Genomic DNA, 17,259 nt, shown 5'->3' with positions numbered 1-17,259 from the left:
AGGCTCCGGGGAACTGGCGCCCTGGTGCCCCGCCGCGGCTGTCGCCCCTGGGGACTCCAGGCACCCCGGCCGAGGACGCCCTCGAGGGAAGCCCTGGGCCGCGTCCGTCGGGGGAGGCGCGAGGAAGACCGCCTTCTGGAGTGCGGGCTCCAGCGGCCCTGTCCGCGGCCCCGAGGCACCTCTGCCGAAATTCGGGGGCGCCGTCCAGGCCTGGGCCCGGGGTGGCAGCAGCTGTTTCCAGGCGGGGAGCAGCGGGACTCGGCGGGAGCAGAGGCCGCTGGCCTAAGACGCCTCCTCGGTGGGTGCGCTCCCTGGATTAACAGTGGCGCTGGCTGTCACACCGGCCGTTTCCCGAGCTCAGAGCGGGACAGTGCCCTGGGTTCCTAGGGCTGCTCGGCGGCCCTTAGCTGCGGCCCGGCGGGATTCGGATGGCTGGAGTTCAGGTGCTGCGGACTCTTGGCCGCTCCACCTGGTTTCATTTGGAGGCCTCGGACTCAAGCCACTTCCGCGAGGATGCTGGCAGAAGCCGCTGCGAGCAGCAATCAAGGGGAGGCCCGGGTCCTACAGCGCCGGGCAGAGGCTGTGCAGTCTTCAATCCAGTGGGGGCCGCTCCGTGTCTTTTCTGCTGGCTCTTGAGGGTCGCAGCTGTGCGCAGTCTGGCTCTCTGGTTTTGCACGTGTTTTCTATTGAAGCAGTCCGTACTGCTGGCCCGTATGGCCTCGGCTCTGTGCGGCTCCACTCGCCTCCGGGGCAAGGGGGCATTTTCTTGATTGACGCCCTCCTGCGGTCGTCACACCTCGCGGTGAGCCGTTTCTGCTAAGGTCCTCCATTAATCATGGAAATGGAAAGACTTCCCTGCTTTTTCTATTGAGACTTCTCAGGTTTTAAAGTTTATAATTTGGAACTATTTGTCCAAACACAGCGGGACCACAGTAGGAAGAGGCGTGGACTGTGAGCCTGACCGCCTGTTCGAGTTTCACTTCGCACATTTTTGTTGAGCAACTACTGTGTGCCAGCAGTGAAAAGGACAGATGTAGTCCCTCTCCTCATGGAGACAGGAAACAAATTTTAATATATGTATGTGCTAGGAAGGAGATGTACATAATGGTCTAAAACCTGTAACAAGGGGACATCACCTATCTGGGGGACATTAAGGAAGGGAAAAGCTTCCCAAGAATTGATGTTTGAAAAGTGAGTGGGTGTCAGCAAGCCCAGGGTGCTTGGACATTCCAAGTCCGGAGAATAGCATGTGAGCGTTGTTAGTTAATGCAACTTCCGTCAAGTCACCATCCCTGAGTTTTTCTCATCTGAAACGTTTGAGACTTGGCCTAAAGGCTCCTGATCTTTTTAGGGTATTGTTAATAGGTATCTTTCAGAATCTAATGACAGACAAGAGCTACAAGCCCAGACAAACTCAGAAGTGTACTACACTATCATTCGAGTTAAAGCATGTTGGGGGTAGGTAAGAATATAATTGCTCTATTATACAGTACATATAAATCATAAATTTTTATATTACTCCATGATATAAACTATCTCTGGAAGGATAACGAACATTGGCTGACTATGAAGAAAGGGGTGGGATTGGAGGGGGCATGTATAGCTGTGAATATCTGGAGACTTGCACTAGATGGATGTATGACCTATTCGTCGTATAAGTAAGTCCTTGAAGAAGTGGCTGATTCTAGATCTAGGGCAAGAAAAGTACAAGGTAAGCTCAAAGACATCTTGTGTCAGAAACCGTGAAAAGAAAATAGGGACCACCTTGGAGTGGTTTCCATCGGCAAAATTTGGGGTGATTTAAGCTTTAAAAATACATTAGGGATTATACCACTTTGAATATAACAATTCGTGAGTCCATAGTGGTACTCAGAGAGAGAAAGGTGCAGTGGATGTGAAAGCTGGAAGAATGTCAGCTAACAGATGTAGAAAAATTGGTACAATCGAAAAACGTAATAATTCAAGAAGAATCATCATCAACTAACACGTGAAATGTTGAGGATGAGGATTTTCACAAGGCCTCATATCATCCCAATTAACTGGATTCTGGATTTTAAAAAACTATAAAGGAGCCGGGCGCGGTGGCTTACGCCTGTAATCCCAGCACTTTCGGAGGCAGAGGCGGACGGATCACGAGGTCAGGAGATCGAGACCATCCTGGCTAACACGGTGAAACCCCGTCTCTACTAAAAATACAAAAAATTAGCCAGGCGTGGTGGTGGGCGCCTGTAGTCTCAGCTACTCAGGAGGCTGAGGCAGGAGAATGGCGTGAACCCGGGAGGCGGAGCTTGCAGTGAGCCGAGATCGCCCCACTGCACTCTAGCCTGGGTGACAGAGCCAGACTCTGTCTCAAAAAAAAAAAAAAAAAAAAAACTATAAAAGACATTGCTTTTTATTGGGGGGGGGGATAATGGGGACAAACTATGAAGTATATGTTAGTTGACATTATTAATCTTTTAGATGTGATTGGTATTGCAGGTTACTTTGGAAAATGCGATCTTGGGAGTTGCAAGCTAAAGTCTTTAGGAGTGATGGGTCATATGTGCAGCTTACTTTTAAATACTTCAGTATATACATATATGTGCATACACATCTACATGTATATTTATACACACATATCTATGTATATGTTCATATATGTATATATAAAGAGGGATATATCACAGGTTCAGTTCTAGACCACTTCAATAAATAAACATAGCAATAAAGCAAGTCACATGAATTATTTGGTTTCCCAGTGCATGTAAAGGAGGTTATCTTTACACTTTACTACATTCAGTGTGCAATGGCATTATGTCTTAAAAAGCAACGTACATACCTTAATTTAAAAATACTTTGTTACTAAAAAATTGCTAACGATTGGCAGGGAGTGGTAGCTCATGCCTGTAATCCTAGCACTTTGGGAGGCCAAGGCTGGCGGATCACTTGAGGTCATGAGTTGAAGACCGGCCTGCCAATATGGTAAAACCCTGTATCTACTAAAAATACAAAAATTAGCTGGAAAGTGCTTGAACCCGGGAGGCAGAGGTTGCAGTGAGCTGAGATCATGCCACTACACTACCAGCCTGGGCAATAGAGTGAGACTCCATCTCAAAAAAAAAAAATTGCTGACAATCATCTGAGCCTTCAGCAAGTCATAATCTTTTTGCTTTTGAGGGGTGTTGCCTTGATGTGGATGAGTGCTAACTGATCAGGGTGGGAGGCACAGAAGGTTGGGGTGGCTGTGGCAATTCCTTAAAGACAACCATGAAGTTTGCCACATCTGTTGACCCCTCCGTTCATAAAAGATTTCTCTGTAGCATGTGGTGATGTTTGATAGCATTTTTATCCACAGTAGAACTTTCAAAATTGGAGTTCATTTTCTCAAACCCTGTGCTGCTCTATCAAGTATGGTTGTGTAATAGTCTCTCTTTTTTGTCCTTTTTTTTTTTTCTTTTTTCCTTTTTGTAGAGAATGGAGTCTCGCTCCATTCATTGCCCAGGCATGTCTCGATCTACCGGGCTCAAGCTATGCTCCTGCCTCTGCCTCCCTAAATGTTGGGATTACAGGCATGAGCCATTACATCCAGCTATGTAATATTCTAAATCCTTTGTTGTCATTTCAATAATGTTCACAGCATATTCACCAGAAGTAGATTCCATCTCAAAAAACCACTTTCTTTGCTCATCCATAAGAAGTAACTCCTCATCCATTCAAGTTGTATCATGAGATTGCAGCAATTCAGTCACATCTTCAGGCTCCACTTCTATTTCTCTTGCTGTTTCCAGCACATATGCAATTACTTTCTCCACTGAAATCTTGAACCCCTCAAAGTCATCTGTGAGGGCTGGAATCAACTTCTTCCAAACTTCTGTTAATGATATTTTTACCTCCTCCCATGAATCATGGCCTCTGGAATGGTGAATCCTTTCTGGAAGGGTTTTACTTGACTTTGCCCACAGAGGAATCACTATCTATGGCAGCTATAGCCTTACAAAATATATTTCTTAAATAATAAGATTTGAAAATCAAAATCACTCTTTGATTCATGGGCTGCAGAATGGATGTTGTGTTAGCAAGCATGAAAACAACATTCATCTCTTTGTATATCTCCATCATAGCTCTTGGGTGACCAGGTGCATTGTCAATGATCAGTAATAATTTGAAAGGCATATTTTTTTCCTGGGCAGTAGATCTCAACAGTAGGCTTAAAGTGTTCAGTAAACCACACAGTAAAATGATGTGCTGCCATCCAGGCTTTGTTATTTTATTTATAGGGCACAGGCAGAGTAGATGTAGCATAGTTCTTAAGGGCCCTAGGATTTTCAGAATGGCCAATAAGCATTGCTTTAAACTTAAATGTCAGCTGCATTAGCACCTAACAAGAGAGTCAGACTGTCCTTTGAAACTCTGAAGCCAGCATTGACTTCTCACTAGCTATGAAAGTCCTAGATGGCATCTTCTTCCAATAGAAGGCTTTTTGGTCTACGTGTAGAATCAGTTTAGTGTAGCTACGTTCATCAATGATCTTAGCTAGATCTTCTGGGTAACTTGCTGCACCTTTTCTATTAACATTTTCTGCTTCACTTTGCACTTATGGTGATGGCCTCCTTCCTTAAACCTCGTGAACCAACCTCATCTAACATCCACCGTTTCTTCTGCAGCTTCCTCACCTTTCTCAGCCTTCATAGAATTGAAGAGAGTTGGGGCCTTGCTCTGGATTAGGCTTTCGTGTAAGGGAATGTTGTGGCTGGTTAGATCTTCTATCCAGACCACTTGCACTTTCTCCAGATCATCAATAAGGCTGTTTCACTTTTTAGCATTCATTTGTTCATTGGAGTACCACCTTAAATTTCCTTCAAGAACTCTTCCTTTGTGTTCACAGCGCTGTCTAACTTTTAGTGGATCTTAACTTTCTACATGGCCTCCTTGCTGAGCTTAATCATTTCTGGCTTTTGATTGAAAGAGACATGCAATTCTTGCTTTTCCTTGAACACTTAGGGGCTGTTGTAGGGTTATTAATTTGCCCAATTTCAATATTGTTGTCTCTCAAGGAATAAGGAGGCCCAAGGAGAGAAGGAAAGAGACTGGGGAACAGCCTGTGAGTAGGACAGTCAGAACACACGACATTTATTAAGTTAGCTGTCTTATATGGGTGCAGTTTGTGGTGCCCCAAAACGATTACAATAGTAACATCAAAGACCACTGATCACAGATCATCATTACAGATATAACAATAAATATTATGAGAATTACCCAAATGTGACACAAAGACATGAAGTGGGCACATGTTCTTGGGAAAATGGTGCCAATAGACTTGCTTGATGCAGGGGCGTCACAAACCTTCAATTTGTAAAAACTGCAATATCTGCAAAGCACAATGAAGTGAAGCACAATAAAATGAGGTATGCCTGTATCGAAAATTATTAATTGGTGAATTTAGGTGAAGAGTATACAGGTGTTTGTTGTACTATAATTTCAGAGTATACAAGTATTTGTTGTACTCTAATTTTAGCTTTTTTATAATTACACATAGCAATTAAATTACCATAATTCCTGTAGATTTGAAAGTTTTCAATATAAAAATGAGAAAAAATGAAAACACTGTTTCTTTTTTTAATCTCAAATTCCTTTTTACCATACTTTTTTTGTGTGTGTGTGTGAGACGGATTCTTGCTCTGTCGCCCAGGCTGGAGTGCAGTGGCATGATCTTGGCTCATTGCAAGCTCCTCCTCCTGGATTCACGCCATTCTCCTGCCTCAGCCTCCCGAGTAGTTGGGACTACAGGCGCCTGCCACCACACCCGGCTAATTTTTTTGTATTTTTAGTAGACAGTGGTTTCACCATATTAGCCAGGATGGTCTCGATCTCCTGACCTTGTGATCTGCCCATCTTGGCCTCCCAAAGTGCTGGGATTACAGGCATGAGCCACCGCGCCCGGCCTACCATCCATTTTTTTTAAAGGCATAATGTTTTGAATGATTTCTGAAGATTGCATACAATTTCAGGTAGTGCCTTGCCCCTGGAAACTATCAGTGAAGGGTTATTTGGGAATCATTGATCCCTCTGTGGGTCAGCTCCAGTGTTGTGCCATCTCCACCGTCATCATTCTCATCCCATGGCCTGATGAATTCAATGTGCTCTTCTGTGTTCCAAGGACAGAGACAAGCTCTGGGGACAAAGAAAGAACAGTTATTATATGAAGTTCAAACCTACCTTCACAAGTTATGTTTGGGTCTTGAAAGATTGGGACCTCAGTAAACTAAGCAGAAAACTGTGCTAATTATTTTTCTCACAAAATGTTTCCCCTTTGTTTTCATTGTGCACCTTTTTCCTGCCCCTTCTACTCTGCGAGTAACAGATGATGACTCCAATTCATTTAGTGCTTTCACAGTAAATCACTAGCCAGCCTTTATTACCCATCTTCAGAAACAGTATTAGTTTATGGTACTGGTTTATTCTGTGCATGATTCAGCCACCAGCCAAAAGATCTAAATCTACAAATATTTTAAATATATATATTAAAATGCTAGGGAAATAATCACTAGCATAGAGTTATTAAATAATCACTAATAAAAGAAGCATCCTCTCTTTCTTTGATTTAGCCACAGATCCTGGGAAGTAGATGGAGATCTTAAAAGGCATTGGTAAAACATTCCAACTCAGCTACATAATCCTCACTGGCAAACTGAAGCACTTAATTCTGTTAAGCTATATAACACTACCTTTTCTACATCCAATCGTCAGATCCATGTTCACTTAGCTAAAGTTAAAAAAAAAAATTACAACCACATTTGTGAATGTCACATTTATTGAACTACATAATTTTTAATATCACTTGTGTACGTTTTATAGTTTGTTTTATTGTTTTAAAAGTCATTTGGGGCCCTAAAAGAACTAGATTTTTCCAAAGTTGTCCTTATGATTTTTTTTCGCACAGTCAGAACTAATAAAACAAAACTGTTGTAGCTATTTAATTCAAAATCTCTCGGAGTTTCAATATTTTTTCTCTGCTGGATACTAAAACCAATAAAGCTCCATGAGATTTTAATTATATTCTGAATTAAACAAGACTTTCTCCAAAAATTTGGCCCCATTTATTTTAGCCATTGCTGTTGTGCAAAAGACCAAATTTGTAAGAAGAGAAGGTAGTTCTCATTTGTAATTTATCTAGAAGGAATTTAGGTAAACTTTTTGCAACTTACTTTTAATAAATGTATGTAGAGGTAAAAATTCAAGTTAGCTATAGCTTGAAAGCATCAATGGATTTTATTATAACAACTTGGTTCTATTTATACTTACACTAAGTTTTATTGTCTTCAACTGTTGGGATGACTAAATCATTTATTAAATTTCATATCAAATCATATATTTTTCAAATATTTGAGAAAATCTAATTAGTGCTTTAGTGGTTTACTAACTTACAAAATACTAATCTGATCAAATAGAGATGCCTCATCCCCATCATAAATGGAATCAGAGCCCAGAAATACATAAGCAGTAGGCATCATGACATTGCTTCAGTGACGTTCTTTTTCCAAATTTTTTTTTTTTTTTTTTGAGATGGAGTCTTGCTGGAGTGCAATGGCGTGATCTCAGCTCACTGAAACCTCCACCTCCTGCATTCAAGCAATTCTCCTGCCTCAGCCTCCCAAGTAGCTGGGATTACAGGTACCTGCCACCACACCTGGCTAATTTTTGTATTTTTAGTAGAGACGGGGTTTCACCATGTTGGCCAGGCTAGTCTTGAACACCTGGCCTCAGGTGATCCACTGGCCTCAGCCTCCCAAAGTGCTGGAATTACCCACATGAGCCACCACACCTGGCCTTTTTCCACATTTTACATACTACAAGGTGCCTCACATACCACTGTCATGTGGGTGAATTTTACTGACCATGGAGCTTTAGGTAGAGCTTTAGGTAACTGCTCAATTTAAAAAGTGATGATGAATTCAATAATAAAAAGAGCACCCAATTCTTTAAATGAGCTAAAGGTCTGAATAGATATTTCTCCAAAGAAGTTATACAAATAGCCAATAAGCACATGAGAAGATGTTCAACATCATTAGTCATCAGGGAAATGCAAATCAAAACCACAATGAGATACCACTTCACACCCACTAGGATAGCTATAATAATTTTAAAAACACAAGTGTTGGTGAGGATGTGGAGATTTAGAACCCCCCCATGCTTTGCTAATCGCAATGTAAAATGAAGCGGCAGCTTTGAAAAGCAGTCTGGCAATGCCTGAAAAGTTTAAACAAAGTTACCACATGACCCAATGATTCTACCCTTGGGTATATTCCCACAAAATGAAAACATATGTCCACACAAAAACTTGTTCACAAATGTTCACAGCAGAATTATTTATGATAGCCAAAAAGTGGAAACAACCCAAATGTCCCTCAGATGATGAAGGGGTATGTTAAAAGTGGTATATCCATACAATGGAATATTATTTGGTAATAAAAAGATACATCTGATACATGGATGAACTTTGAAAACATTTATCTTCAAAAGAAGTCAGACGCAAAAGCCCACAGATTGTATGTATCTTTCAAGCTTGTCCAGCCCATGGCCATGGGTCTCATGTGGCCCAGGATGGCTTTGAATGTAGTCCATCACAGATTCGTAAACTTTCTTAAAACATTATGAGATTTTTTGTGATTTTTTTTTTTTTTAGCTCATTAGCAATCTTTAGTGTTAGTGTATTTTAGTGTGGCCCAAGACAGTTCTTCTTCCAGTGTGGCCCAGGGAAGCCAAAAGATTGGACACCCCTGCTGTATATGAAATGTCCAGAATAGGCAAATCTGTAGAAATGAAAAGTGGAATAGTAGTTGCCAAGGCTGGGGAACTTGGGGATAAATGAAGGGTGACTGCTGGTGGGTACAGGGTTTCTTTCTGGAGTGATGAAAATGTTCTAACAGTTATTGTGGTGGTTGTTACGCAACTTTGTGAATAGCTTTAAAAAAACTTTTTTTTTTTTTTGAGACAAGGCGGAGTTCACTCTATTACCCAGGCTGGAATGCAGTGGTGCGATCTTGGCTCACTGAAACCTCTACCTCCCAGATTCAAGTGATTCTCCTGCCTCAGCCTCCCAAGTAGCTGGGATTACTGGCGTGTGCTACCACACCCAACTAATTTTTATATTTTTAGTAGAGACGGGGTTTCACCATCTTGCCCAGGCTGGTCTCGAACTCCTAACCTCAGGTAATCCACCCACCTCGGCCTCCCAAAGTGCTGGGAGTACAGGTGTGAGCCACCACACCCGGCCAAAAAAAACTTTAAATGGGTAAATTTTATGATATGTGAATTACACCTCAATACAACTGTGTAGGTTTGGTTTTTTGGTTTTTTTTTTTGAGACGGAGTCTCGCTCTGTTGCCCATGCTGGAGTGCAGTGGCACGATCTCGGCTCACTGCAAGCTCCACCTCCCGGGTTCACGCCATTCTCCTGCCTCAGCCTCCCGAGTAGCTAGGACTACAGGCACCCGCCACCATGCCCGGCTAATTTTTTGTATTTTTAGTAGAGACGGAGTTTCACTGTATTAGCCAGGATGGTCTCGATCTCTTGACCTCGTAATCCGCCCGCCTCGGCCTCCCAAAGTGCTGGGATTACAGGCATGAGCCACCGCGCCCAGCCTGTTTTATTTTTTGAGACAGAATCTCTCTCTGTCACCCAGGCTGGAGTGCAGTGGCGTGATCTCAGCTCACTGCAACCTCCGCCTCCCGGGTTCGAGTGATTCTCCTGCCTCAGCCTCCAGAGTAGCTGGGATTACAGGTGCCCACCACCATGCCCGGCTAATTTTTGTATTTTTAGTAGAGATGGGGTTTCACCACATTGGCCAGGCTGGTCTCCAACTCCTGACCTCAGGTGATCCACCAGCCTCAGCCTCCCAAAGTGCTGGGATTACAAGCACAAGCCACCTTGCCCGGCCATTTTTTGTTTTTTGAGACAGGATCTCTCTCTGTTGCCCAGGCTGGAGTGCAGTGGTGTGATCTCGACTCACTGCAACCTCCGCCTCCTGGGTTCAAGCGATTCTCCTGCCTCAGCCTCCTGAGTAGCTGGGATTACAGGCACGTGCCACCACAGCCCGGCTAGTTTTTGTATTTTTAGTAGAGATGCGGTTTCACCATATTGGTCAGGCTGGTCTCGAACTCCCGACCTCAGGTGATCCGCCAGCTTCAGCCTCCCAAAGTGCTGGGATTAGAGGTGTGAGCCACCACACCTGGCCAGTACTATTAATCTCAATGATAAACCAGGACTCATGCTGTCTGGACCACGGACACCTCTATTCAAGAGGAGCAGCCTGTTCCTCTTGATCCTGTGCCTCTTAATTTGCATGTTTTTCACCAACCAGGTGCCCTTCTCATCAGCACCGAGAAAGTAGGGGAAGAGGGACTTACTGCCAGAGAACTCAAAGTCTATTGGAAAACCTGAAAGCCAGTCCAAATTCTGTCCCTGTTTTTAAAATTTTCACAACGTCCTCTCAGATCATATGGCCACAAAATTCCACCATCCTTCACTTTAAGGAGCACTGTAAAGATTCTATTTTGAGAGAAGGAAAAGGCAACAAAATGTTGTGATGCGACATTTTGAAGTCGCAAGACCTGTGTTCTGCAGGGCTGTCAGAGAGAGCTTGGTTCAGACAGAGGTGGAAGGGAAGTAGTGTGGACTTTCTAAGTGTGGGGATCTATGAGAGCTGAGGATGGCCGCCTCCTAGAGAAACAGAAGCTTCATGGTAAAGACATTGTGAATTAACCTACAGGAACTCACTCTCCCGTTCCACAAGGACTTCATCTCAGTTCAAACATAAGCTGGCTTCCTGAGGACACGTTTCCCCCAGACGTGAAATGGGCCTGAAACACTGAATTATTTAAGATTGGCTTATCGCTGGCTGGGCATGGTGGCTCATGCCTGTAATCCCAGCACTTTGGGAGGCTGAGGTGGGTGGATCACGAGGTCAGGAGTTCAGGACCAGCCTGGCCAACATGGTGGAACCCCATCTCTACTCAAAATAAAAAAATTAGCTGGGCATGGTGGCACGCACCTGTAATCCCAGCTACTTGGGAGGCTGAGGCAGGAGAATGTCTTGAAGCCGGGAGGTGGAGGTTGTGGTGAGCCGAGATCGTGCCACTGCACTCCAGCCTGGGTGATAGAGCGAGACTCCATCTCAAAAAAAAAAAAAATGCTTATTGAAGAAGTCTGAGGTCATTCGGAGAGGTGTGAGAGTGGTAGGAGAGATTGCCCACGCCAAGGTTTGACCCAAAAAAGAACTCCCTGACTGAAGTTACAGGCCTCACCAGAAACTGATAACATTGGTTGCTCAAAAGGGGGAAGCTAGTTGGTGGTGTAGACATAGTGGTGGAGAGGGGCAGGGGAGAATGAAATGGGAAGTGGCTTTATGCTGCCATTTTTGTACTTTTTGAATTTTGAACCCGGTTTCTAAAAAGTGTCTGGCATATAGTAGCTGCAATAGATATTTTTGAAAAGCTGAATGAATGGAGTCAAATAAACGTGATTGTTTAAAACTTTTAGTTTCAGAGGTACATGTACAGGTTGGTTCTATAGATAAATCACATGTTGCAGGGGTTTGGTGTACATATTATTTTGTCACCCAAGTAATAAGCATAGAACTCTTTTGGGAGTTTTTCAATCCTCACCCTCCTCCTACCCTCCACCTTCAATTAGGCCCTGGCATCTATTGCTCCCTTCTTTATCTCAATGTTCAGCTCCTACTGATAAGTGAAAACATGTGGTGTTTGCTTTTCTGATCCTGCATTAGTTTGCTTAGGGTAATGGCCTCCATCTCCATCCATGTTGCTGCAAAGAACATAATCTCATTCTTTTTTATGGCTGTGTACTATTCCATGGTGTATATGTACCACATTTTCTTTATCCAGTCTACTTAGGATGGACATTTGGATTGATTCCTTGTCTTTGCTATGGTGAATAGTGCTGCAACAAACATGCAAGTGCATGTGTCTTTATGGTAGAATGAGTTCTATTTATTTGAGTATATACCCAATAATGGGTCAAATGCAAACATGATTTTGAATTCAAGTCCCACCAATTTTACTGTGTGCTTTGATTAGTTTCCTCTTTTTTTTTTTTTTTTTTTGAGATAGAGTCTCACTCTGTCGCCCAGGCTGGAGTGCAGTGGTGTGATCTTGGCTCACTGAAACCTCTGCCTCCCAGGTTCAAGCGATTCTCCTGCCTCAGCCTCCCGAGTAGCTGGGACTACAGGCGTGTGCCAACACGCCCAGCCAATTTTTTGTATTTTTAGTAGAGACGAGGTTTCACCATATTGGTCAGGCTGGTCTTGAACTCCTGACCTTGAGATCTGCCCGCCTCACCCTCCCAAAGTGCTAGGATTACAAGTGTGAGCCACCAAGCCCGGCCTGATTAGTTTCTTAACTTCTTCGAGCCCCAGTGTCCTTTAAGTAGCATAGGGATGGTAATATCTTTCTCATAATAGTATTGTGATGATAAAATGAGTTGTTGCATGTCAATCACTGGCATAGAGTAAGCACTTAATAAATGGTGGTTGCCATGGTAATGATAATAATGATAATACCAATGACAACTACAATAATGATAATGGAGAAAAGTAGCTCAAGGGGCTCTTCTAATTCTTTTATGGTAAACTAGAGCATTTCTCTAGCAAATATTACTTGAAATAAATGTGCCTTGTCTGGATTTTGGAAATCTGTTATTATAGGGAGATTTTCAGTTAGAAATTTATCCAGGGTCTATCATACTAGATATAAATATCTAGTGGAGAATATAAATATTAATAGGACAAGGCTCCTGCCCTCAAAGAGCTTTGTTATAATGGTATTGGTAAATGAATGTCCTGAGAAGCTCCAGACTATCTGATTTTTGTTGTTGTTATTGTAGTGGATTTAATTATAATGAACATATAACATGAAGATTCAAGAGCTGGAAATTCAATGAATCTAATACTCTAGATTCTGTAGTCACTAGTGTGGCAATGCGCCAAATATCACATGGACAATATTCTCATCTTCTTACCTTTGCTTAGTATCTGAATTTTTTGTACAGTGTTTATATATATATTCCTTAGCATCTGAATTTTTTATACAGTGTTTATATATATATTCCTGAATATAGAAGGTAGTGTTACCCAGTAGTTAAAAGTATGGACTTTTCTCTAAACTTCCTAACTCTGTGATGTTGGGCAAGGCATTTACTCTTTCTCAGCATGTGTTGTTTTATTGTTTTGTTTTGAGTTTAGCCTTTTTAAAAAAAGGCCGGCTAATAATCACACTCATATCATATGGTTTTAAAATGTTTAGCACTATGCCTGACCCAGTAAGTTCTCTACTTCCTTCTGTTTGAGGAGAGTAGAATAAATTTTGCCTGGTTGCAGAAAAATAGCTGTAGAAAAAACTAGTTCAGGCCAGGCATGGTGGCTGATGCCTGTAATCCCAGCAATTTGGGAGGCTGAAGCAGGAGGATCTTTGGAGCTCAGAAGTTCAAGACTAGCCTGGGCAACATGGTGAAACCCCATCTCTACAAAAACAAAAACAAACAAAAAAAAACCGAAAACCTTAGTTCAGCCCATCTTTCCTTCTCCCATGTTTAAGGGGGAACAATTTTTTGGTTGATTGATTTTTTAACTTCATAAATTATGCAAATGCTATGAGTTGAATGTATCCCACAAAGTTTTGTGTTGTAAATGTAATCCCTAATGCAACAGTGTTGAGAGATGGGATGTGGGGCTGGAGGAGCGGACGGGCCCCGCGGGGCCCGAGGGCAAGGAGCAGCCGCCTGCCTTGGCCTCCCAAAGTGCCGAGATTGCAGCCTCTGCCCGGCTGCCACCCCGTCTGGGAAGTGAGGAGTGTCTCTGCCTGGCCGCCCATCGTCTGGGATGTGAGGAGCCCCTCTGCCTGGCTGCCCAGTCTGGAAAGTGAGGAGCGTCTCCGCCCGGCCGCCATCCCATCTAGGAAGTGAGGAGCGCCTCTTCCCAGCCGCCATCACATCTAGGAAGTGAGGAGCGTCTCTGCCCGGCCGCCCATCGTCTGAGATGTGGGGAGCGCCTCTGCCCCGCCGCCCCATCTGGGATGTGAGGAGCGCCTCTGCCCGGCCGAGACCCCGTCTGGGAGGTGAGGAGCGTCTCTGCCCGGCCGCCCCGTCTGAGAAGTGAGGAGACCCTCTGCCTGGCAACCGCCCCGTCTGAGAAGTGAGGAGCCTCTCCGCCCGGCAGCCACCCCATCTGGGAAGTGAGGAGCGTCTCCGCCGGGCAGCCACCCCGTCCGGGAGGGAGGTGGGGGGGGTCAGCCCCCCGCCCGGCCAGCCGCCCCATCCGGGAGGGAGGTGGGGGGTCAGCCCCCCCGCCCGGCCAGCCGTGCCGTCCGGGAGGGAGGTGGGGGGGTCAGCCCCCCGCCTGGCCAGCCGTGCCGTCTGGGAGGGAGGTGGGGGGGTCAGCCCCCCGCCCGGCCAGCCGCCCCGTCCGGGAGGTGAGGGGCGCCTCTGCCCGGCCGCCCCTACTGGGAAGTGAGGAGCCCCTCAGCCCGGCCAGCCACCCCGTCTGGGAGGGAGATGGGGGGGTCAGCCCCCCCACCCGGCCAGCCGCCCCGTCCGGGAGGGAGGTAGGGGGGTCAGCCCCCCGCCTGGCCAGCCGCCCCGTCCGGGAGGGAGGTGGGGGGGTCAGCCCTCCGCCCGGCCAGCCGCCCCGTCTGGGAGGTGAGGGGCGCCTCTGCCCAGCCGCCCCTACTGGGAAGTGAGGAGCCCCTCTGCCCGGCCAGCCGCCCCGTCCGGGAGGGAGGTGGGGGGTCAGCCCCCCGCCCGGCCAGCCGCCCTGTCCGGGAGGGAGGTGGGGGGGTCAGCCCTCCGCCCGGCCAGCCGCCCCGTCTGGGAGGTGAGGGGCGCCTCTGCCCGGCCACCCCTACTGGGAAGTGAGGAGCCCCTCTGCCCGGCCAGCTGCCCCGTCCGGGAGGGAGGTGGGGGGGTCGGCCCCCCGCCCGGCCAGCCGCCCCGTCCGGGAGGGAGGTGGGGGGGTCGGCCCCCCGCCCGGCCAGCCGCCCCGTCTGGGAGGGAGGTGGGGGGGTCGGCCCCCCGCCCGGCCAGCCGCCCCGTCCGGGAGGGAGGTGGGGGGGGTCAGCCCCCCGCCCGGCCAGCCGCCCCGTCCGGGAGGGAGGTGGGGGGGTCGGCCCCCCGCCCGGCCAGCCGCCCCGTCCGGGAGGGAGGTGGGGGGGGGGTCAGCCCCCCCGCCCAGCCAGCCGCCCTGTCCGGGAGGTGAGGGGCGCCTCTGCCCGGCCGCCCCTACTGGGAAGTGAGGAGCCCCTCTGCCCGGCCAGCCGCCCCGTCCGGGAGGGAGGTGGGGGGGTCAGCCCCCCGCCCGGCCAGCCGCCCCGTCCGGGAGGGAGGTGGGGGGGGTCGGCCCCCCTGCCTGGCCAGCCGCCCCGTCCGGGAGGTGAGGGGCGCCTCTGCCCGGCCGCCCCTACTGGGAAGTGAGGAGCCCCTCTGCCCGGCCACCACCCCGTCTGGGAGGTGTGCCCAACAGCTCATTGAGAACGGGCCAGGATGACAATGGCGGCTTTGTGGAATAGAAAGGCGGGAAAGGTGGGGAAAAGATTGAGAAATCGGATGGTTGCCGTGTCTGTGTAGAAAGAAGTAGACATGGGAGACTTTTCATTTTGTTCTGCACTAAGAAAAATTCCTCTGCCTTGGGATCCTGTTGATCTGTGACCTTACCCCCAACCCTGTGCTCTCTGAAACATGTGCTGTGTCCACTCAGGGTTAAATGGATTAAGGGCGGTGCAAGATGTGCTTTGTTAAACAGATGCTTGAAGGCAGCATGCTCGTTAAGAGTCATCACCAATCCCTAATCTCAAGTAATCAGGGACACAAACACTGCGGAAGGCCGCAGGGTCCTCTGCCTAGGAAAACCAGAGACCTTTGTTCACTTGTTTATCTGCTGACCTTCCCTCCACTATTGTCCCATGACCCTGCCAAATCCCCCTCTGTGAGAAACACCCAAGAATTATCAATAAAAAAATAAATTTAAAAAAAAATACAAAAAAAAAAAAAAAAAAAGAGAGATGGGATGTGTAAGAGGTGATTAGGTCATGAGTGATCTGCCTTCATGAATGGATTAAGGTTGTTATCACGGGAGTGGGTTCATCGTCAAGATAGTGGGTTTGTTATAAAATCGAGTTCAGCCTTCTCTCATCCTTTCCCACCCTCTCATTTTCCGCCATGGGATGATGTGGCAGGAAAGCCCTCATTAGATGCTGGCACCTTCATATTGGACTTTCCAGGCTCCAGAACTTGAAAGTTTGGGAGCTAAATACATTTTCTTCTTTATAAGTTACCTAGTCTTCAGATATTCTCTTATAGCAGCACAAAATGGACCAAGACAGAAAACTGGTACCAAGAAGCAGGGCTGATGCTATAACAAATGCCTGAAAATGTGGAAGCAACTTTGGAACTGGGTAATGCATAGAGGCTGGAAGAATTTAGAGGAGCGGGCTAGAAAACACCTAGACTGCCATGAATGAAGCACTAAGGGCAATTCTTAAGAAGGCTCAGAAGAAGAGAAAAGCTGTCAGCAAAGTTTGGACCTTCCTAGAGATTACTACAGTGATGTTTAGAATGTTCATAGAAATATGGACAGTAGGCCAGGCGCGGTGGCTCATGCCTGTGATCCCAGCACTTTGGGAGCCCAAGGTGGGTGAATCACCTGAGGTCAGAAGTTCGAGACCAGCCTTACCAATATGGTGAAACCTCGTCTCTACTAAAAATACAAAAATTAGCCGGGCATGGTGGCGCACGCCTGTAATCCCAGCTAATTGGGAGACTGAGGCAGGAAAATCGCTTGAACCCAGAAGGTGGAGCTTGCAGCGAGCCAAGACTGCACCATTGCACTCCAACCTGGGTGACAAGAGTGAAACTCCATCTCAAAAAAATAAACAATAATAAAAAATAAATAGAATATCTAGTGGAAAAAATCTCTAAGATGAAAAATATTGAAGGAGCTTCGTGGCTACTTTTAACTGCATGTAGTAAGATGTGAGAGGATAGAAAGAATTCTTTTACCCCTACCAAAGAACTGATGAGAAATAATTAATTGTATTTCTTTCTTTTTCTTTTTTGAGATGGAGTCTGGCTCTGTCGCTCAGGCTAGAGTGCTATGGCGCCATCTCAGTTCACTGCATGCTCCACCTCCCAGGTTCAAGTGATTCTCCTGCCTCAGCCTCCCTGGTAGCTGGGATTACTGGCGTGCAGCACCACGTCTGGCTGATTTTTGTATT

At 46.4% G+C, this 17,259-nt stretch overlaps 1 annotated feature.

Moving 5' to 3' along the window:
- Window positions 62–301: a silencer, noted in NCBI's record as "silent region_2620". NCBI's record gives its function as "represses an Ori minimal core promoter by ATAC-STARR-seq in GM12878 lymphoblastoid cells {active_cell/tissue: GM12878}" and the evidence as "EXISTENCE:reporter gene assay evidence [ECO:0000049][PMID:35858748]".

The sequence above is a fragment of the Homo sapiens genome, chromosome 10 (genome assembly GCF_000001405.40).
Source record: "Homo sapiens chromosome 10, GRCh38.p14 Primary Assembly".
Lineage (NCBI taxonomy): Eukaryota > Metazoa > Chordata > Mammalia > Primates > Hominidae > Homo > Homo sapiens.
Note: the sequence above shows the minus strand (reverse complement) of the source record. Positions and strands in the feature narration are given on the sequence as shown.